General features: G+C 39.2%; 1 protein-coding gene across 13 annotated transcripts in view, besides 2 other annotated features; it reads left to right on the top strand.

Moving 5' to 3' along the window:
- Positions 1–10687, top strand: part of JMJD1C (jumonji domain containing 1C) — a 354666-nt gene extending 343979 nt beyond the window's left edge. For 12 of the 13 annotated variants that reach the window (XM_017015897.2, NM_001322258.2, NM_001318154.2 and 9 more), the window contains 4 exons: positions 56–195; positions 1439–1615; positions 9346–9477; positions 9778–10687. In XM_017015897.2, the coding sequence (XP_016871386.1) occupies positions 56–195; positions 1439–1615; positions 9346–9477; positions 9778–9867 (539 nt within the window). In that variant the 3' untranslated portion in view covers positions 9868–10687. The remainder of the gene's footprint in view (positions 1–55; positions 196–1438; positions 1616–9345; positions 9478–9777) is intronic. The other variant, NR_134512.2, reaches the window with a different exon arrangement.
- Positions 19645–19694: an enhancer, noted in NCBI's record as "active region_3435". NCBI's record gives its function as "activates an Ori minimal core promoter by ATAC-STARR-seq in GM12878 lymphoblastoid cells {active_cell/tissue: GM12878}" and the evidence as "EXISTENCE:reporter gene assay evidence [ECO:0000049][PMID:35858748]".
- Positions 19775–19824: an enhancer, noted in NCBI's record as "active region_3434". NCBI's record gives its function as "activates an Ori minimal core promoter by ATAC-STARR-seq in GM12878 lymphoblastoid cells {active_cell/tissue: GM12878}" and the evidence as "EXISTENCE:reporter gene assay evidence [ECO:0000049][PMID:35858748]".

The raw sequence follows: 22412 nt of genomic DNA, 5'->3' as shown, positions 1-22412 counted from the left end.
CTTGGCTTTCTGGTATTCTTTGCCGACAATTTGAAATTATGTTCCTTTGTTTCAGGAATTCTCAAGAAATTTGAGGAAGAAGATTTGGATGACATTTTAAGGAAAAGATTGAAGGACTCAAGTGAAATACCTGGTGCTCTGTGGCATATTTATGCTGGGAAAGATGTTGACAAGATAAGGGAATTTCTTCAAAAGGTATAAGTTAGTTTGCAAATAATATCTCTTCCCCTCAAGCAAGGACTTATTCATTGTTGCCGTACCTTCACTTGGCATTCAACAATATAAGACCATTACATAATTTTTACTTCAAAGTAGATGGGAGTTTTTGTTGAAAGTCAAAACCCTGTTTCTCTTGCTCCTCTTTGAAAGTCTGTTAACATTTTGAGGGTTTTGAATGGTGATTTGTTCCCAGTTGGTAGTGTGCCTCCATTCCCTGTTAATAAAAGACTGATCTGTTCTTGAGCCAGATATTAGTTGGGTGGCGAAAAGTAGCTATCTGGAGTCGCGGGATGTAAAAACAAATATTTCATGGAAACGTCTAAAGAAGGTAGGATCTTTATTTTCTTTGAATCTGATAGATATTTTTGGCTGCTGACCTAGGGAATGATTCTACTCTATCACATCTGATACTATGATACTTACTGAGTAGACTCAGATTTTGAGTAATCATACCTTGACTGTAGTTGGCATATACTCTGAAAGAAATTTATATATCAACCTGAAATAATTGGTTGAAACCCTTTGCTCAGGTACTTTTTAAACTTCGTAATTATGGAAATTTGTTTTAAGAAATGTTCAGTGCTGATACATCATCTTTCTGAAAGGATGTAAGTTCTGTCTGTGATCAATGTGAAGTAAAAGAGTTACAGCCTTTTTTGTACCATTTTATCCCTGAATACTTACCTGTATTTTAATCTGAAGTATGATCATTTGTGCCTTCTAAAGCAGATTATTTAACTGATTAAAGAGTCCCTTGAAATTGATTTTTCAAGTGTTAGAAGGTTAGCCATGTAAAGGTATTTATACTTACCTCAAAAAAGGATCAATAAATGTTTATGAAATCCATACATATGAATGGTTTGGCTTTTGGTAAAAAAAAAAAAAAAAAAAAAATACCCTGTTCCTCATCCATGTGCTATACTTTTGAAACAGTTATAAGGAAGGAAACCAGATAGATGGAAACTTCATAGTGGAAGGAGGTGGTGAGAAGGAAGTAGTAAACTGTTAAGAGCATTTCAGCATTGCTGTATTGTTTTAATATTCTTTGGCTTTCCAAATTATTGCAGAATGTTATTTTTTAACTGAAGAAGCTCATTCAGTTGTTCCATTGATTCTGAGAAGAAAAGATTTGTTATTACAAATAAAATTGAAATTTAACTGAACAGGATTTACCATTTCCTTACTTAAATTGGAGTGTCTATTTTAATTCATATTTCAGATTTCAAAAGAACAAGGCCTTGAAGTTCTACCAGAACATGATCCAATACGTGACCAAAGTTGGTATGTGAACAAAAAGCTCCGTCAAAGGCTGCTTGAAGAATATGGAGTCAGAACCTGTACTCTTATTCAGTTCCTTGGTGATGCTATTGTTTTGCCAGCGGGAGCACTTCATCAGGTATATACAAACTTATTTCTAACATATTTTTTACTGACTGAAAGAACTAGTTTTGAAAAAAAAATTGCTCTTAGTATAGATATAAATGGAAGAAGATGCAAATAAGAGAATTACCTGCACCAGTCTGCCTTTATTAGAATGACATCTCAGTGCTTGCAGAAATCTCACATAATTTCCTTAAGATTTTAAATTGTTTTAACATGAGCCAGATTTCTATTTGTATACTGTCTCCGATTTAATAGATCGAAATCTGATTTTTAAGCCCTCCTGGTGACATGTATACCTCTGAATAGTGAGGCTTAAAAGCATGGGGGGACACAGTATACAGACTTTTTATCAGGCTTTAAGCATACCTCCTACCTTTCTTCAGCATGCTAGCATATCAGGGGCCTGTCTAAAGAAAGATGGTATGTAATTTATATAACTGTTGATCCACAAAACATAAAAACTAAAATAAATACCTAGTTTAAAATACCTAATTTTTCCAGCACCGGGAAAAATGGCATAGAATAGATGCAGTGGTTATGGAGGGTGGGATTAAAAGTACACAGTGGATTCCTATAGGTGGAATGGGGCTACTACAGCCCAGGTTAACCCTTAAAATTAACAAGGTGTACCAGGGAAACCAGAAAAAACTCAAAAGCTGCTTTGCCTCAACAGTTGGTTCTCCACCTTTTCCACTGCTAAGTAATTGAGATGTAGCTGATGTATATTAGTTTACCAAGGAAACTTTCTCACATTTTATATAAGTATAGTCATTGACTGTTTTAGCATTTATGGCACTCTTCCATACAAATACTACTTAGGTGATAATAATTGCTTAGCTTTTAGGATGTGTCAGATTCAGGGTCAGATTTATCATTATTAGATCTCAAATGGCATTTATGATACAGTAGTAAAATACAAATGTCATAATAATAAATACCTTTTTCTCTATGATAATTTCCTGGAAAAAATGTATTTACATTAAGTGGTTATATTTTCCCATGGACTTATGATTATTTCAGAGATGTCATATTATTTATGTTTCATGTTTAATCTGGGATTCACCCTATACACCATTTCTTTGACTTCTAGACTCTTAGCAGAAAATAGCTAATCTGTATTCAAATGTAAATGCTCTCAAAAGAAGAGCCTATTTAAGAGACTAGTATTATAAATCTTTTTGTACATAGGAATAATCCTTTGATAATACAAAGTAGATTCCCTTGAAGATCTTTATTCACATATTGAATTTATCCAATGTCAGTTTTTATAAAGTTAACCTAGGTAGTGTAGTCATTTTTGTAAATTGAGATATAATTTGCATATAGTGAAATTTACCTTATTTAATGTATAATTCTGTGAGTTTCAACAAATGCATAGTTAGGTAACAACATAATCAAAATGTAGAACAATTCCATCACTCCGAAAAAATTCCCTCTTGCAGTTTTTTTTTTTGTTTTTTGTTTTTTGTTTTTTTGAGACAGAGTCTTGCTCTTGTTGCCCAGGCTAGAGCTCAGTGGCGCGATCTTGGCTCACTGCAACCTCTGCCTTCCGGGTTCAAGCGATTCTCCTGCCTCAGCCTCCCGAGTAGCTGCGGATTACAGGCATGCACCACCACGCCTGTCTAATTTTGTATTTTTAGTAGAGATGGGGTTTTTCCACGTTGGTCAGGCTGGTCTCGAACTCCTGACTTCAGGTAATCTGTCTGCCTTGGCCTCCCAAAGTGCTGGGATTACAGGCATGAGCCACCATGCTCGGCATCCTCTTGCACTTTTATAGTCAGCCTCTTCCCACCCAAAGTTCCTGCAACTAATCTGCTTTTTTGTCCCTATAGTTCCTCTTTTATGAGTATGCTGTAAATTTGGACTCACACAGTATGTACCCTTTAAGTCTGGCTTTTCTTAATGTATTTGAGATTCATTCCTATTGTTGTATTTATCAGTTGATTCTTTTTTTATTGCTGGGTAGTTGTATGAATATTTTTTTCATTTTTTAAATCCGTACATTCACCAGCTGAAGTACATTTTGGTTTTTTCCACTTTGGGGCAATAATAGATAAAGCTATCATAAACATTCATATACATGGTTTTATGTGAACAAAGATTTTTATTTCTGTTAAGTAAATACTGAATGGTGGGATTGCCTGGTGATACTATAATGTATGATTAAATTTAAGAAACTGCCAGACTATTCTCTAAATTGGTTGTTCCATTTTCATTTCCCAGTGCAGGGTTATGTGAGTTTCATTTCCTCTGCTTCCTCACTAGTGCTTGTTACTGTCAGTTTTGTTTTTAGACCATTCTAGTAAGTGTACAGTGGTGTCTCATGGTGGTTTTACTTTGTACTTTCTTAATGACTAAACATTGGGCATCTTTTTATATCTTCATTTGCCATCTGTATATCTACTTTGGTTAAATATGTGTTCAAATATTCTGTCTATTTAGCTGCTTTTTTTCTTACTGAGTTTTGAGTGTTTTTTGCCAATTTCTGATAATGTCTTTTATCTGATAATGTGTTTTACAAATACATTTTCCTTTCCTGTAGCTTCTCTTTTCAAAGAGCATTTTTTTTTCATTTTTCCATTTTTTAAAAGACAGTATCTTGCTCTGTTGCCCAGGTTAGAGTGCAGTGGCACAGTCATAGCTCACTGTAATCTCAAACTCCTGGGTTCAAGTGATCCCCCCACCACACCCTCCTGAGTAGCTAGTACTGTAGATGGACACCACCATGCCCAGCTGATTTTTTAATTTTTTGTGGAGATGGGGTCTTGCTGTGTTGCTCAGGCTGGTCTCGAACTCCTAAGCTCAGGCAATCTTCCTGCCTTGGCCTCCCAAAGTGTTGGGATTGTAGGCATGAGCCAACCCACCTGGCTGGTTTTTTCCATTTTGATGAGGTCCAGTTGATCAGTTTCTCTTTTATGGATGGTATTTTCATAGTATCTACAAAATTGTTGCCTAGCCCAAGATCACTCAGATTTTCTCCTCATTTTCTTCTAGAACCATTATAGTTTGAGGTCCTACATTTGGGTATGCAATGTAGTTCATCTTTGTATGTAGTGCATAGTATGGAGCGAGGTTCAATTTTTTGCATATGGGCATTTGGCTGTTCCAGTACTATTTGTTGAAAATACTACTTTTTAATGTTTTTCTTTTGAAAATGTAATACATAAACAGAAAAATTCAAAAGTATAAAAAGTTCACGGTGAAAATTCAGTATCTCACATTTTTCCCCCAGTTCCTTTTTTCCAGATGCAATCATTGTTACCCCAAAGAGATTCCATGCTTACACTTGTGTCCCTGCTGCTACTTTTTTGGGAACAGTGGTCTTTTAGTAGGCTCAAAGTGACCTTGTTAAAAAGTTAGGTTGGTTTACATATCCACACTTCCCCCTCTGTCTCACTGCCTTCATCTCGTATGGCTCTCCTAGTTCCTCTCTAGCCATCCTGCCCTCTTTGCTTCTTTCACACACACCAAGTATGTTTCCCCCCTCCCCCAGGGTTTTTGTGCTTCTTAATCTTTTTTGCTTGGAATCGTTTTTCTGTCAGGTATCTGTAAGACTTGCTTCTTTACACTTTTTTAGGCTTCATTCAAATTTCACCTTCTTGGTGAGGTCTAGTTTAAAGCTGTAAATTGTGTCCCCCAACTTTCTGTCGTCTTTCCTGCTTTATTTTCCTCCATTTCAGTTGTCACCTTAAAATATGCTTTATAATTTACTCACTTTGCTTGTCTTTTAACCCCCACTGGAACGTAAGCATGATGAAGTAAGAGATTTATCTTTTCCATTGCTCTCTTCCCATGCCTAGAATAATGCACTTAATGTTTGTATTATTAATAAGTCTCTATTCTGAAGGCCAGAAAATACGTTCTCAGTAACAACATGTTTTTGCACAAGGGTAGAGGAAAACAAATTTATGGCTTTCTATAATTTATATGTATTGGGCTTTTTGTAAAACATGTAAATGTTTACTTCTTCCTATATGTGCTTTCTCTGGCTACTTCCAAAAGTTTACTTAGGTTGGAATCCACTTTATGTCTATACACATTTTCTTTGAGATAGTTAGAAAATTCACATAGATTATAGAAACAAGATTACATCTATAAAAAATGTTATATCTAAATACACCAAGGCAGCATATATGACCTAGACTGACAAATTATATTCTGAGCTCTGCCACTAAATTGCTGAGTGATCCAAAACAAGATCTAACTTCTTTGCTACATATTTTGGCACAGAAATTGCCAGCTGTACAAAAGGGAATTGCTACCTTTCCTCTCCTGTGGGGTGTAATGACAACAACACAGCTCTTTATACTCTGTTGAAAGGATGTTGTCCGTAATTCACAATTGGTGGCAATGCAGTTTTAAGAGAAAATTCAAGGGAAGTAATAAGTGTTTACAATATTAACCTGGATTTGAGATGCATTATTACTTACAACCTGTTTAGGTCTTAGAAGTTCTGAAAACTGTTAATGACTTCAACACTTCCAGTAGGCTATAGGTGGCCCTCAGAATAATCAGACTCTAAATCAGTATTCTGACACTTCAGCATATGTTAGAATTTCATGGAGGGCTTGATAAAGCAGATTGCTGTACCCCACCACCAGAGTTTCTGATTTCAATGGGTCTGGGGAGGGACCTGAAACTATAGATTTCTGACAAGTTTCCAGGAAATGCTGATTTTACTGTTCAGGGACCACACTTTGGAAACCACACAAATAGGAATCTCATGCAAACCCAAGGCACCTATCAAAAAATTTTCAACCAAGTGATTCTGCATGACAAGGGCCAGCAGTGCTAGGGAAGAAACAACATTCTGTTCTTTGGCCCGTCAGCAATGACCATTGCCAGAGCCAAACTGAGAAGAGTGGGCTGTCTGTTCAAGGAAGCTGAGATATATAATCTTAGCAAGCTGAGGGAAAGCAGCATAGCCACAGCCCTCTTTATATGCTAAGAACTATTCTAGAATTGGAGACTTACAAATCTTACCTTGGTAACTGGGACTCAGTCTGTGAAACTCCTGTACATCCCTCCACAGAGCAATGACCCTGACCTCCAGGATTTTTGTCTCAGCTGTAGTATTCTGAGGTTTAGAGTGGCCTTTACTTAAAAACAGCAACAGTTGTTTTTTTTTTAAGTTAACACATAATCTTTAGTAAAATTTGTCGAAAAATACTAACTTTGATTGTGTTTGGTCATTTATCATGAGTTTAGAAAATTGTAAAGTTGTAATTCTCTGTATTTATATGACCAAAAGGACTTCTTGGCAAAATCTTTCCACACTAAGTTCTCACAAATAACTGAGTAAATAGCAATCACAGTGTCAATATAATAACCTTCCTACTATGAATACAAATTATATTTTCTTAACATTACCTATTTATAATTATAACTGATGCTTTTAGGCAAGTATGAATAAGACAATGTCAAGGAAGTGAAATATAAATGAGTCAAATGTGGCAAAGAAAAGGGATAATCAGAATGAGAAGCTGAGTTGTGTTCTGCTTTAAAACTGAACCTTGGCTCTTCAAAGTAACCCTCAAGCCTTTATCCAAAATATATCAGGTAGGGGTCATTAGGAAACCTAATAGCATCTTGTAAGCACTAATAAAGGTTACTGTTCTAAAAGTCATTTTAAAACAACCATAAGCTGGCAAAGACTGACAGAATGAACTTTTTCAGAACTCTGGAATCTAATTGAAAACTTACAACAGCAACCAAGAGACTGCTTAATGAAGAAAAGGGCAGCTGATTTTTGGCATTTAAGGAAATCTCTGTTAGGTAACTGGCTGACCAGTGAGATAGTGGAACAGAGACTTCAGTGACCACACCCAACAAGGAATACTGCCTTTGCAAAAACAGTTTGGAAAAGTCACTAAACAAATGGATGACTGGAGCCCTCAGGAATCAACAACAGCAAACCCTGAGGCAGGGAGAGAATATGATTACCCATTGTAATGTTCAGATGCCCAGTTTTCAACAGAAAGGTATAAGGCATACACAGAAAGAGGAAAGTATGGCCCATTCAAAGGGAGAAAATAAATTGGCAAAAACCTTCCCCGGGAAGCCCAGACATTGGACTTACTACTAGACAACTGTCTTAAATATGCTCAAAGAGCCAGCAGAAATCAGGAAAACGATGGATGAACAAAGTGAGAATATCAATAAATTATATAAAAAAAGAACCAAGTATACATTTTGGAGCTACAAATGATTTTAGGACATGCTAGAGCTAGATATACCAAAAGTTCTTTCATGCTAAAACTTTGGAAAGACTTACTCTCCTTAAGTTCAGATAAATGAAAGACATAAGGAGAGAGGGCATTTGGAGACTCTGTATGCTGGTATGAGAGTTAATAAGCAGGACTGTAAAGCATCTGTTAGACAAGACACCGCAGGAGTTGGGCTCCTGTTGACTTGCCATTTATTGGCTGATTTGTCTTGGGACAGGCGCTGAACATCTCATCCATAGTTTCCTGCTCTGTGAAATAGAGCATCTGTTCTACAGACACATTATGAAGAGCCAGTGAGACTGTACAGAAATGCTGAAAATGTGAGGCATCCACTATGTTCATCCTCCAGAGGAACCAACAGCCTAATGATTAAAGAAAGAGAATGTTTACTTTACTATGCTACCAAGTTATCAATAGAGGCACAGTGCTTGAGTTAAAGAACTCTGCAGACTTCAGCAGCTGTTCAGGTGGTCATTATGCCCAGAGGAGGAATTCTAGCCCCTCTGGAATTCCATCACCCTATCATCAATTAGATTTTTTTTCCCCACAGTCTCCATTTCCCACTTACTATCTCTTTCATCTCACTCCTCCCAATTAAATTTATTTTGCATACTTAGAGTAACTTTAAATGCTTAGTTTTTCAATTATTTCTCCTTTCCCAGGAATTTTTATGATGTTTTTTAATATCACTAGAAGACAATCTAGAAACACCACAAATCCCAGATTGGATCAGCTTGGGCCTTCCTCTGTTGTTTTACTGGCATTAATAGAAAGCAGCTCTAATAGTCAAGTGCAAAGTCAGTTTGTAAATGCTGAACAAATAACAGATAAGACTATTGACTGGCTTCTTGGGAAAACTGTTTGGTCAGGAGAGAGAAAACTGTTGAAAAACTGTTGTACTGATGTCACCGGTGATTGAAGGGGTATCTTTAATTGGCTAATTTGAAAGAAAGTCACAAAAGAAAGGCATGAATAACCAAAATCCTGGGATATTTCTGAAACTCAGTCGAGGTCAGTAGATCTGTCTGGGACTACATTTTCCATCCCAGTTCCTAACAAAGTTTCATTTTCTTTTCTTTATTCTCTGATGTAAGAGTTAACAGTGAAATGACCAAAATCCTGAAAGCCAATGGAGCAACAATAAACATACTCAGATAGATTGCCTCATAAATTCTTTCAAGTTAGTTTTTAAAAGTAACACATTTTTTAAAAGTCCACTTTGGCAAAATTGATAATTTAATATCTGGTTATCAGCCTCTCCAAAGGATTCCTGGAAAAGTTATTTTCTTTTTATCATTTAAAAATATTCCATTTACAAAGTCACTTTACATGAAGCTTTTCAGTGACATAACTTTCTCATAAAATGTGGTCTTCTGCTTTAAAATCCATTTGATGTTTTGGAGAAAGTAAATTCTCCAGCAGAATTGTCTCTTGTGTTTATTGGTTTTAAATAACTTGGCTTTTCTTTGCTCCACCTCCTAAAACTTGTATTTCACGGTTTTTCTTTTGGGGATAGGTTCAGAATTTTCACAGCTGTATTCAGGTAACTGAAGATTTTGTGTCTCCAGAACATCTTGTAGAGTCATTTCATTTAACACAGGAACTGAGACTTTTGAAGGAAGAAATCAATTATGATGATAAACTACAGGTAAGAGTTGGGTGTTCTAGGTCCTGTTCTTCAGGCTTTTTATATTCAGAAATATGATACATGTATAACAGCTTAGGCAGTCATTGCCTAGTTGGTCACATTAGGGTGACAACCAAAGATTAACACCAACATGTATTTAATTGTATGATTTATAGTGTCCCTTTTGGCTTAACACTTTCAAACATTTTTCTTATATTTGGCTTTCCTAGTTCCCTATTATTTTTTTAAATCTGGAAGTTGTCATTTTTTAATTAATTTCTGTCGAACTGAAGTGATTAGAAATATCAACATCTCTTTCAGGTTAAAAATATTTTGTATCATGCAGTCAAAGAAATGGTGAGAGCCTTGAAGATACACGAGGATGAAGTAGAGGATATGGAAGAAAATTAAGTGTGATCCAGTTTGATATTTTTAGGTTGTTGAACTGGGATTACTTAACCTTGAATGATGATATGTATGCACACTGACTTTAAGCTTCATAAAACCATCAGTGCCAAGAAATTCTCTTTGTAGTAATTACTTGTTACTGACACCACAGCAGTATAGCATATGTCACAGCTCCTGTGATTCAATGTTATAAAACAAGCAGAATTTTAAAAGCAGCACTATATAGCTGTTTTGTATTATAGTGTATATGATGTTTGTGAAAATGCCAGATTTAAAATGATGTATTTATTTTTGGTAAAAAATAAAAAATTCTATGCTATATTGTTGATCAAGTGTAAATGTGACCTTGTACAGTTTACTAAAATTACTGATATTTTTCACTACATTGAGACAGTTACTGTGAGAATAGGACACAAACACCAGCTATTGCCTGCATCTGGGAAATTGCTGAATCGCACAGCAGTCATGTCATAATCAGAAAATTACTGCCAAATAATTGTAAAATTTGTAAAGTATAAAGTATATAAAGTAGATACTAAATACAGACACTTCAATATTTTGTTGAAGCTATTGACTGTACAATTAAACATTTTCAAAAGGTGTAATTTATTTAAAATTGTCTCATTTTGGTAAAATTTATGTGAACTTTTAAAGCTAAATATTAAACTTAATATGCTATGTAAATATATACATATATACATTTAATGATGTATTTTTTTAAAACATTGGCTTGCTTTTGTTAAAGTGCAAGTGTTACATATGGCTTTGTACATTAAAGTTGAAAGGGGTTTTACATTTTCCATTAAAAGGACTTTATCAAAAATTGACTTTTTCCAGAGTACTCCCTCTGTTGACAAGCATGACACTGGGGGCAGAGAAGAGCCCGAAGTCAGTCATCCTGGGTATAAATATGAGTTCTGCCACTTACTGTATGACCTTAGAAAGTTATTTTAATTAATTTGAAGTCTTGGTTTTAATAGCTGGCTGCTATTGTCGGTTGGTTAAGGCTGACATATTCCCAACCCTTTAAGTTACTGGAAAGATGTAGCTCTCCACTGACACCTGCAGGATATTGAGAGGATAGCCTTTCTTCTCAACTGAAAGCATTCAGCTTAAAAGAAAAAAGTGGGAGTCCAAGTTGTGACACCTTGCAAGTTGCTTAGTTTATACTGTTTTTCCTTATGTCACCATCGTTTAGCTCCATGTAATCTGTTACAACACCCTCCACTTCAGGCAAGGTTCAGCCAGGAATGTGAGCAATTACATTTCATGTGAATTACCTACATGTGGCATTTCACATTAATTACCTATACTTATCATGGGATGGATAATGACTACTTGGCTAGAAAGAAAAATTGGCCTGAGGAATATTTCAGATGATTTTGTGAACCTTCTTTGGTGAGCTTTTGACTTTTTTAAATACCATTTTTCCAAATGTGCCTCAGCTGATAAAGTGGCTTTTGTCTAATGCTTTCATATGTTCCATCTGATTTAATTTTGATGTAAAATTAAGTGAAAGCCAAGGTGTTAATTCTGGAGTAGAGTACCACCTGCTGGTCCCCTAAAGCCTGCCAGGATCCCAAAGTCTGTGGTGATTGTTTTTCCTCAAAACCTTTTGCTTCTCTTGCTCTTGCATGAGCCACCTTTTAACCATATTTACAACTTATTCTGAATAGCTGAAGCTAACGAAGATAAAGCCAGGTAATGTGGCTTGTTTCAGTGCAAACCCACCTTAATGACAGTATTCTATCCGTAGTCTGAAGAATATTGTATCCATAGTCTGAATTCCATGCTGCTGACCTAATTAATTCCTTGTAAATCTGGGGTGAAGAGAGAGGACCATAATGCTTACATCCTTAATGACATTTGTAAGCTTTTTGGAAGGCTGGGGAGTTGATTGATTGCTGATTACTCCCTAATCACTGGAGCAGTTCCTCTGGCCTTTTTCTCTCCATCCTTTTGGTTGGGTCTGATGCGCCTCAGGAGTATGTCTGAGTATGTCAGCTCCCTCCAGACGGTGGTATGGTGTTATCTTAAATGTGTACAATAATTTGAGAAACAACAAAGAGCCTTTATAAAGGGAAAGTCGTGGTGAATACTTTACTTTAGTTCTTTCCCATTCTAGTGTATAATGTTTTTTGAGACACTCTCGCTCTGTTGCCCAGGCTGCAGTGCAGTGGTGCAATCATAGCTCACTGTAGCCTTGAACTCCTGGGCTCAGGTGATCCTCCTGCCTCAACCTCCCGAGTAGCTGGGACTATAGGCACGCATCACTGTGCTCAGCTAATTTTTTTTTCTTTTGGAGACTGAGTTTCACTCTGTCACCCAGGCTGGAGTGCAATGGCGTGATCTTGGCTCACTGCAACTTCCGCCTCCCAGGTTCAAGTGATTCTCCTGCCTCAGACTCCGGAGTAGCTGGGACTACAGGTGCATGCCACCACACTTGGCTAATTTTTCTATTTTTCATAGAGATGATGGGGTTTCACTACGTTGGCGAGGCTGGTCTCGAACTCCTTACCTGATGATCTGCCAGTCTCAGCCTCTCAAAGTGCTGGGATTAGAGGCGTGATTTTTAAAATGTTATTTATTTATTTATTTTATTTATTTATTTATTTATTTATTTAGAAGAGATGAGGTCTCTCTCACTACGTTACCAAGGCTGGTCTCTCCTGAGCTCAAGTGATCTTCCCACCTCAGCCTCCCAAAGTGCTGGGATTACAAGTGTAAGCCACCACACCTGGCCCTAATTGATAATGTTTTTACTGGAATATGGATTTTTCATGAATAATCAATACGTGCATTCAAATTCATTTCTGCCATGCATCTGGGGACTGTAATACCCAGACGAATCAGTGTCTGGTTTTCTGTCACTTCCCTTCTTGGTAGATGGGTTATGGATTTAATAACATCTGGGTAAAATTAATAAGCTTCAGAAAAGTGCTGTCATACCTTTACTTTGCTCTGTGCATGTATACCATAGATAGATTGATACAACATGTTCTGTTTCTAGATGCCAGCCTATTAAAGATGCTCTCACAAATGAGATCAGCAGTCAGCCATGGGAGAGGAAAAAGTGATTTAGTTATTCTATATAATGGTTTTTTTGTTTTTTGTTTTTGTTTTTGTTTTTGATACGGAGTTTGCTAATTTGCTGTTGTCATCCAGGCTGGAGTGCAGTGGCACCATCTCGGCTCCCTGCAACCTCTGCCTCCCAGATTCAAGTGATTCTCCTGCCTCAGCCTCCCAAGTAGGTGAAGTTACAGGCCCACACCACCATGCCCAGCTAATTTTTGTATTTTTAGTGGGGATAGGGTTTCACCATGTTGGCCAAGGCTGGTCTTGAACTCCTGACCTCAGGTGATCCGCCCACCTTGGCCATCCAGAGTGCTGGGATTACAAGCGTGGGACACCACGCCCAGCTAGTTATCATTCTGTATTCAATACAGTATTCAGTATGAATTGGGATAACAAGTTGGCCAAGACACAAGGTTATGTATGCTGCCAGGCCTGTCACCAGGATGCAGACTCAGACCTTTCCAACTGCAAAAGTTATGACATGGCCTGGTTATGCAATTACTATGTAAACCTAGATAGATATGCTTTGAAACCGTATAAAAATATAGCAAATGTGAGTAGTATGTGAAGTACTTTGGCTCCCACAGTAATCAGCCTGGTTCTTTTAATGACAATTAATTGACTTTTAAGTGACAATGAAATGTTGGCAGGCTCCAGGTCACTGGCTGCATGCCTTGTAAGTTAGTTCCCTTTCTTGGCTGGGGAGGTTTTCACAACTGGCTATAGCTAAAACAGGATTGTCCTTCTGTGTCTTGTCTGTGAAAAAGACCTCAGCCCTGGGGCCAGCGGAGGGTATACCAAGGACCTGTGTTGTATGGGTGGGTCAAATGGACTCCACTTTGAGAGGAAGGGCATTATGGGTACAGAAGCCAACACCACCTCACCACCCCTTAGTCTTTGACCCAAATTTTGCAGATGATAAAAGATGTGGAGAGCTGGATGAGTAAACAAATACACTTTGGGAGGCCAAGGTGGGCAGATCACGAGGCCAGAAGTTTGAGACCAGCCTGGCCAACATGGTGAAACCCCTTCTCTACTAAAAATATAAAAATCAGCTGGGCCTGGTGGCACAGGCCTGTAGTCCCAGCTACTCTGTAGACTGAGGCACCAGAATTGCTTGAATCTGGGAGGCAGAGGTTGCAGTGAGCCAAGACCGTGCCACTGCACTCCAGCCTGGGCGACAGAGCAAGACTTTCTCAAAAAAATAGAAAAAAAAAATGAGAAGGAAGTATAAGATGAGATGCGAACTGACTGCTTTCCCAAGGAGAGCGAGTGTGGTCCTCTGGCAGCATAGTAAGGATGGTAACTGACAGGTGGGGCTACTGTGGAATATGGAAACAACGGTTCAAGGTAGGTGATACAGGTTTGCTTTAGTAAGTGGAAGAAGTTCAAGATAAAGACTCAGGGATCACTGTTTCCAGCCACACATGCCATGCCCTACGTAAGTGTAAGGTAGAACTATCTTGGGCCACGTGCGGTGGCCCACGCCTGTAATCCCAGCACTTTGGGAGGCTGAGGCGGATGGATCACCTGAGGTCAGAAGTTCGAGACCAGCCTTACCAACATGGTGAAACCCCATCTCTACTAAAAATACAAAAAATTAGCTGGGTGTGGTGGTGCAGGCGTGTAATCCCAGCTACTCAGGGGGCTTAGGCAGGAGAATTGCTTGAACCCGGGAGGCGGAGGTTGCAGTGAGTCGAGATTGTGCCACTGCACTCCAGCCTGGGAGACAGAGCAAGACTCTGTCTCAAAACAAAAAATAAACTTGTATTTACAACTTATTCAAAAGTGTTAGGCAGGCATTGGTGATGTGATGGTTAAAAAATTTTAAAAAAGATGCTGAGGATTGGCCCATCTATGCTAAATATTATATAACAGGTATATACAAAGTATTTGGAAAAGCTGTAATAAATTTTGCCTGGGGTTAGGGAAGGCTTCAGAAAGGTAGTATTTGCACAACCCTTCAAGTAACAAAAAGGACAGCAAATGTGTACATATTTAGATCTCCGTTTGGCCCTTTTTTATAAACACATTCACTGAGACTTCTATACACTTTTCAAGAGAGATTTACAAAGTCATTCACTCTTCATTTCTTGTTCTAGAAGGGCAGCAGGGAAGGAGCTGCTTCTTGGAATGGCCTTTATAAGAGGTGAATGTCAAATAGACAAATTCCTATCATAGATGTCCAGTAAACAACTACCAGGATGTCATAGGCAAGTCAATGTAGTCTCATCTCTCCCATTCTATAGATAAAATACAATCACATTATTTTCACATTAAACATCTAGAAGATACTGTGGTAGCCTGAGGCGTTTTTCTTAATCAGTGAACTGAGGCCGGGCATGATGGTTCATGCCTGTAATCCTAGCACTTTGAGAGGCTGAGGCCGGCAGATTACTTGAGGTCAGGAGTTCGAGACCAGGCTGGGCAACATGGTGAAACCCCGTCTCTACTAAAAATACAAAAATTAGCTGGGTGTATTGGTGCATGCCTGTAATCCCAGCTACTCTGGAGTCTGAGGCAGGAGAATAGCTCGAACCCAAGAGACAGAGGTTGCAGTGAGCCCAAGATCACACCACTGTACTCTAGCATGGGTGACACAGCCAGACCCCGCCTCCCAAAACAAACAAAAAAACATTTTATAGCCAACCTAATATATTTATTTTATCCCCTAATTTATTTGGGAGTGGGTAATCCGTATGTGGGGACTCGTCCCCAAAATTTTTGAATAACTAGAATTTACTCCTGTTTTGCAGAAACAAATTATGTTGAACAACAAAATATTTTATTAAGCAAACATTTCATACAGAAAGGAAAAAGGCCAGCCTATACAACCTTTTAGGAAACTGAATTCCATTTTAGTTTCTAAAAATCACTACACTATGAAAAGTCCCACAAATACAAACCACAGGGCTTATATGAAAAATGGTATTAGGGCATAGCACTTTAAAACTTCACCAGTGACACATTTAAAAACAGTGGGTTTACACATGTTAAACATTTAAGAAATATATAAGCACTACAAACAAATATGGCACTTTACCTTGAAGACGACTTGAAATGGGCCTCAGAAGGGTTGTGGTTTGTGATTTGACTTCCTGTGAAATGAAGGGCTATCTGGAATAGAGGGAAAAGAAGGTGGGTTATCTGGAAGGTGGGCTATCTAGAATCAGAGGGAAAGGGAGTATGGATGGGTGTAGTTCAATGTCACTGAAAGAAGTTAGCTGGTATCTATTGGAGGTGTGTGTATGTGCTTTATGTGTTTCCCTGCAGCTTGGTTCAAGAGGTGCAGTTTTCTGCGTTCATTTTCTTGCAGAATGAATTGCCCACTAAGCAAACAATATATTATGTTGGAAGAAATTTACATGTTCAAAACTAACTTACAGCTGAATTAACTTGTACACCAAAAGATTCTTCGAATCAAAGCTTTCTAAAACCAATGAAATCATAGGATTTCAGAAACCCATTCTAGAACATTAAGGATTTGGCATATCTGTTGAATTGGTATCATGTGACTTGATCCATTATTTCTCACATTCCCTCCCAGAGGATAAATAAAAGTAGCAATTTAGCCCCTTTAGATTGAGTCCCATGACAAATTGTTGTAAATGTGTTCTAAATGTACAAGCTCCAGAAATTACTTAGTCCTAGAAAATTGCTGCTCATCCCTGGGCCACTGTAGTCTGCTTTCCTGTATGCAACCTGAGTTAGGAGTCCAGCTAAGTATTCCAGTCATGTCTTTCCAACCTTTAGCAGGTGGCTGGATTTTTCAAGTCAGTTGAAAAAATTTTGGTCAACTGGAAAATTCTCATAGTCACCTAATTTTGTGTTCCTAATGTTTAAACTAAGTTAAGCTAAAGTTTTCTGTGATACCCAGTGAGCCAGAAGCCACTACTGTCAACTATTAGAGGGGTTTATTTAAAAGGTATACAGGGGTGACCACTAATTGATTTGAGCTCAAATTGTTTCTGATTCTTAAAAACCTCACGGGTTTTATCTATTTTTTTCCCAAACTTATCAAGATAATGTGAGGACTAAGAAGTGTAAGGAATGGGGGGAAGGGAGGGTACCTGGAGAGGGGACACCTGTAATTTACCCACCCAGAGGCGATCACGGTTATTGGCTTACTTCTGACAAATCTTTTCTATGTATTCCACTCTACAGAGCATAGATCATTACATAAAAATTGGCATACCGTTTTTTCTGTCAGCATATCAATATGTCAAACACTTAAACTGAACATTTCTAATAGCTTCATAGTCCCACATACAGATTTATCATCACAGAACCATGGACAAGCAATGTAAGTCTGTATCGCTCCATTTTGAATCGTGAGCCTATTTATCGTTGCCAGCCTTTCAATAAATGAGGCTACCTTTCAAAAATCCAACCAATACCTCAAGTACTGTATTCAACCAAATTTAAAGACCAAGACAAGTGCCCTTCTGGAATTTACCACAATGCCCAAAGTGTGGGTATTTCAAATAAATGAAAATTACCTAAGGATGAAAACTGGTCTATGACCCTCTTGCCCCATTTAACATCTTGCTGCCTCCATAGAGGTTTATTTAGTTTTAACACTGAAACCAAAGGATTTTGTGGCAATGTTTAACTTTTTTTTTCTTTTCCAGTCACCAGCTTAATGGCATGTTTAATATCCTTCTGTTTCTTCTGTTAACATCTGGCCTTCCCTGAACAGCCATCTCCTCCTAAGAATAGGGAAATATCTGATATCAGTCCCTCCAAAAAGATCTATTAGTGGCAATGAAGACCCTGGGACTTAATAACACTCTGAATAGCAAGACTTTTCTTTAGGGAATTTCCATGGAGGAAGCCTAGGGCTAATCGTTGTTTGGTTCTTCTAATCAACCAAATCAAGAGTCCCTCTCTCAGATGACAAACTCCCTTTCCTCTTTCTGGAAACTACCTTTGGGCATCACTTACTTAGGAGGCTTTGGTCCCTCAGCCCTATCCCACTCCCTAATTAACCTGTCTCCTTTGTCTTCCTGTACATCCTGGAATCTGTGTTTAGCAACTTTAAAGACATTCTCATTTGTATTCTTGATTCCTTCACCGTTTATCCTTCTGTCATATCTGGACTACCCCTCCCACTTTTTTTCTAATGTAGTGTGCCCACATTAGAGAAACAGACTAAGAACGCAAAAACTAAACTCGCCTTCACTTGGATTCTTTCGGCCCTAACTCTGAGGGCCTATTCCAAATATTTTCCATTCCTCAAGTCTGGAACCTGATCCTGGCCCCTTCACCTTTAGGAAATAAAAAGCTAATCCACTTGAGCCTCCCTCAAATTTCATCTCATATTGTCCTACTATGATATGATTCTGACCAAGATTACTCACCTCCCTTAATTCCATGCCTTTGTTCCTGCTGTTCTAGAAATACAGCCAGGCGCAGTGGCTCACGCTTGTAATTCCAGCACTTTGGGAGGCTGAAGCGGGTGGATCACGAGGTCAGGAGTTCGAGACCAGCCTGGCCAACATAGTGAAATCCCGCCTCTCCTAAAAATACAAAAATTAGCTGGGTGTGGTGGCGCATGCCTGTAGTCCCAGCTACTTGGGAGGCTGAGGCAGGAGAATCGCTTGAACCCGGCAGGCGGAGGTTGTGGTGAGCTGAGATTGTACCACTGCACTCCAGCCTGGGCAACAGAGCTAGACTCCGTCTAAAAAAAGAAAAAAAAAAGAAATACCTAGAAAGTCATTTCCCCATTCTTTGATCCCAGATACTTTCCTGAAGGTGAAAAGTATACCAGCTACTTTGTATTTTTAGTAGCATAAGGCAAGATGTTTATAAACTGCTCTTACTATGAGACATTTACTAGCATCCAACTAAGGACTTTTTTTTTTTTTTTTTTTGAGACAGTGTCTCACTCTGTCGCCCAGGCTGGTGTGCAGTGGTGTGATGTCAGCTCACTGCAACCTCCGCTTCCCAGGCTGAAGCGATTCTCCTGCCTCAGCCTCCTGAGTAGCTGGGATTACAGGTGCCCACCACTACTGCCTGGCTAATTTTTGTATTTCTAGTAGAGATGGGGTTTCACCATGTTGGCCAGGCTGGTTTTGAACTCCTGACCTCAAATGATCCACCCGCCTCGGCCTCCCAAAGTGCTGGGATTACAGGTGTAAGCCACTGCGTCCAGACTTGGTTAACTCTTTGTGGCCCACCACACCTCCTTCCCAGGTCCTGAGCAAACATCAAGTTGATTCTTTTCTAAAGAAATTGGTATTGTTTCAGGCCTGCTTTGGCTGCCAAATTCTCCAGATCAGTAAACCCTTCTCCCAAGCTAGACGAAGTCTTGCTAATGATAGCTTTCAACCTAACCTCCAGGCACTTCCAGGCCCATTGAGGGTCAACCTTCTTGAGATTAAACCCAGGCAGCAAAACCTGAAAGGTCTTATCAGACAGGAAACTAGTATGCAAGACTACAGTCCCTGCCTGCACTAACCTGGCCCAGGCTTCTTAAAGACTCTTTTTGAATTGGTTTTCCATATCTGTTCCAGACAGGAAGTCAAGTAAGACCCCAACAGATTCATTTTTCCATGTCAGTCATTGGCAGGGCCTAGCCTTGAGTCTGGACACCATAATACCCTTCCTGGCTAATGGACCCAACAAGAACCAGAAGTTTCTTACTGTCCACCAGATGGCAGTGTTGGTTAGCAGTAGCTGGTAAAAGGACAAGATTGCACCTGGGAAACAACAAATAATCTGAGGATGCCCTTTACTTTTTTAAACAGTCACGCCATCCACTCCCAGAGATCTTTGATTAGGCTACACTGGGATTATGACACAATATAATGATACTAAAATTAAACACTTTTAATCTTCACATAACCTATGATCTAGAATGAATCAATAAATAATAGCTACTATTAGTTTACACCCTGACTCTTCAAATAGGTTATAAACACCCTGTGGCAGGCTGCCTCACACAAGCATCCATCTTAGTCATTTTCAAACAAGATTCTAACCACAACTGCTCACAAATGAAGGGTTATCATTAAAAATGGACATGAAGTTTTTTTCTGTTGAGTGTAAAGACAAACTCAAGTCTCACCAGATGGTCTCTGAATAAAGAAAAACCAGGCCAGTCGTGGTAGCTCACGCCTGTAATCCCAGCACTTTTGGAGGTTGAGGCAGGAGGATCACTTCAGGCCAGGAGTTCAAGACCAGCCTGGGCAACATAGTGAAATTCCGTCTCTACAAAAAATTAAAAAATCAGGTGTGGTGGCACACCTGTAGTCCTTGGTACTTGGGAGGCTGAGGTAGGAAGATCCCTTGAGCCCGGGAGGATCAAGGCTGCAGTGAACCATGATTGATCCACTGTACTTCAGCCTGGGCAACAGTGAGACCATCTCAAAAAATAAAATGATCTTAAAAAAAAAAATGAAAAAGCAACACTTTTTTTCTCTCCACTCTCAGTACTTCACTTCCAGCACCGGATGTGAGCTTTTTTTTTTTTTTTCCCACACATCAATTCTCTGGTAGGTGATCTTGCAAAATTAACTCAACTCTGACTCTACCTACCTGGAGGTTATGGGCTCAGTCCCACAAGACTACCCTTAATTCAGACCCAACCACAAATCCCCGGTTCAACCTGGTATTCTGACCAACCAGTTGCAAATCAGAGGTTCCCACAACACTCCCCACTGCTGCCTCACACTTTTGGATTCAATCCTTTGCTAGAATGGCTTAGGGAAACATCTTATTTACATTTAACCATTTATTATGAAAGTACTTATCAGAACAGCTAGATGGGAGACAGACATGGGGCAGGGACACGGGGCTTCTGTGTCCTCTCAGGGCACACCAGCTCCACATGTTCCGTAACACGGACGCTCTCAGGATCCTGTAGTTCAGGGATTTTTATGGAGACTTAATCATATGGGCATAATCAATTGTAACTCAATCTGCAGCCTCTCTCCCCTTCCAAAGGATGGGGCATGGGGCTGAAAGTTTTAAGCTTCTAATCATGCTGGTCTCTCTTGTGTCCAATCCCTATCCAGGGGCCCACTGAGAGTCATCACATTAGAACAAAAGTTCCTACCAGCCAGGAAATTACAGACTTGGGAGCTCTGTGCCAGGAACCAGAGACAAACAGCAAAATATTTATTTCTTCTTATAAATCACAATATCCTAGTCTCCAATGCCTCCTTGGGAAGCAGAAAGTAGCAGAGGTACAGTGGTACCTCTAACAGAGCTCATCTTTTAGAGAGAAATGGCTAGGCTAATAGAGTCATGTGCCATATAAAATTTCAGCCAATGATGGGCCACATGACAGATTATAAGACCATACCTTTATATTTAGATATACAAATGCCATTGTGTTACAACTGCCTAGCCAGTACAGTCCCATGCTGTAAAGGTTTGTAGCCCAGGAGCAAGACTATACAGCCTAGGTGTGGAGTCGGCTCTGCCTTCTAGGTTTGTGTAAGTCCACTTTAGGATGCTCACATGAAAAAATCACCTAACAACACATTCCTCAGAACACATCCTTGTTAAGCAACACATGACTATTTTTGGCACAAGCTTTTAAATGTCAAGTTTTATGAGCAAGGTTAGGCAAGTAAAATGTCGAGTCTAGGATATTAAAACACTGAGATATTTAGCAGAACAGAAATTCTAGTCAACCAAACAGAAAAAATAATAAAAAAAACAACAACACTGAGATAAACAAATTAATATATATATATTTTTTTTTTAGACAGAGTCCAGCTCTGTTGCCCAGGCTGGAGTGCAGTGGCACAATCTCAGCTCACTGCAACCTCTGCCTCCTGGGTTCAAGTGATTCTCCTGCTCAGCCTCCTAAGTAGCTGGGACTACAGGCCCATGCCACCACACTCGGCTAATCTTTGTATTGTTAGTAAGAGACAGGGTTTTGCCATATTTATCAGGCTGGTCTCGAACTTCAGACCTCAGGTGATCCGCCTGCCTCAGTCTCCCAAAGTGCTGGGATTACAAGCGTGAGCCACTGTGCCCAGCAAATTAATGTAACTTTTAAGAAAGTATAGAACTCAAGACAATTTGGCAGGCTAGTTTATTTTTGGTTTCATCTGCAGCAAGATGAGACAGGAAAAAATATGATTTCTCCATGGTCACTTCTGCTTTTTTTGAGACAGAATCTCACTCTGGTGTCCAGGTTGGAATGCAGTGGTGTGATGAGAGCTCACTGCAGCCTCAACCTCCCAGGCTCGAGTCATCCTCCCACCTCTGCCTCTGGAGTAACCACAACTACAGGCGCGCCATCACTGCACCCAGCTAAAGTTTTTCTGGGTAGAGACAGGGTCTCACTATGTTGCCCAGGGTGGTCGCAAACTCTTGGGCTCAAGCGACCCTCCCACCTCAGCCTCCCAAAGTGTTGGGATTACAGGTATAAGCCACCACGCCTGGCCCTATTTCTACTAGTTTCGTCACTGGATTTGTGAGCCTAACCCAACTTCCTCAACCCAATTGTCCTCAGA

This window comes from Homo sapiens, chromosome 10 (genome assembly GCF_000001405.40).
Source record: "Homo sapiens chromosome 10, GRCh38.p14 Primary Assembly".
NCBI classification, from domain to species: domain Eukaryota; kingdom Metazoa; phylum Chordata; class Mammalia; order Primates; family Hominidae; genus Homo; species Homo sapiens.
This window is presented reverse-complemented; position numbering and strand designations above follow the sequence as displayed.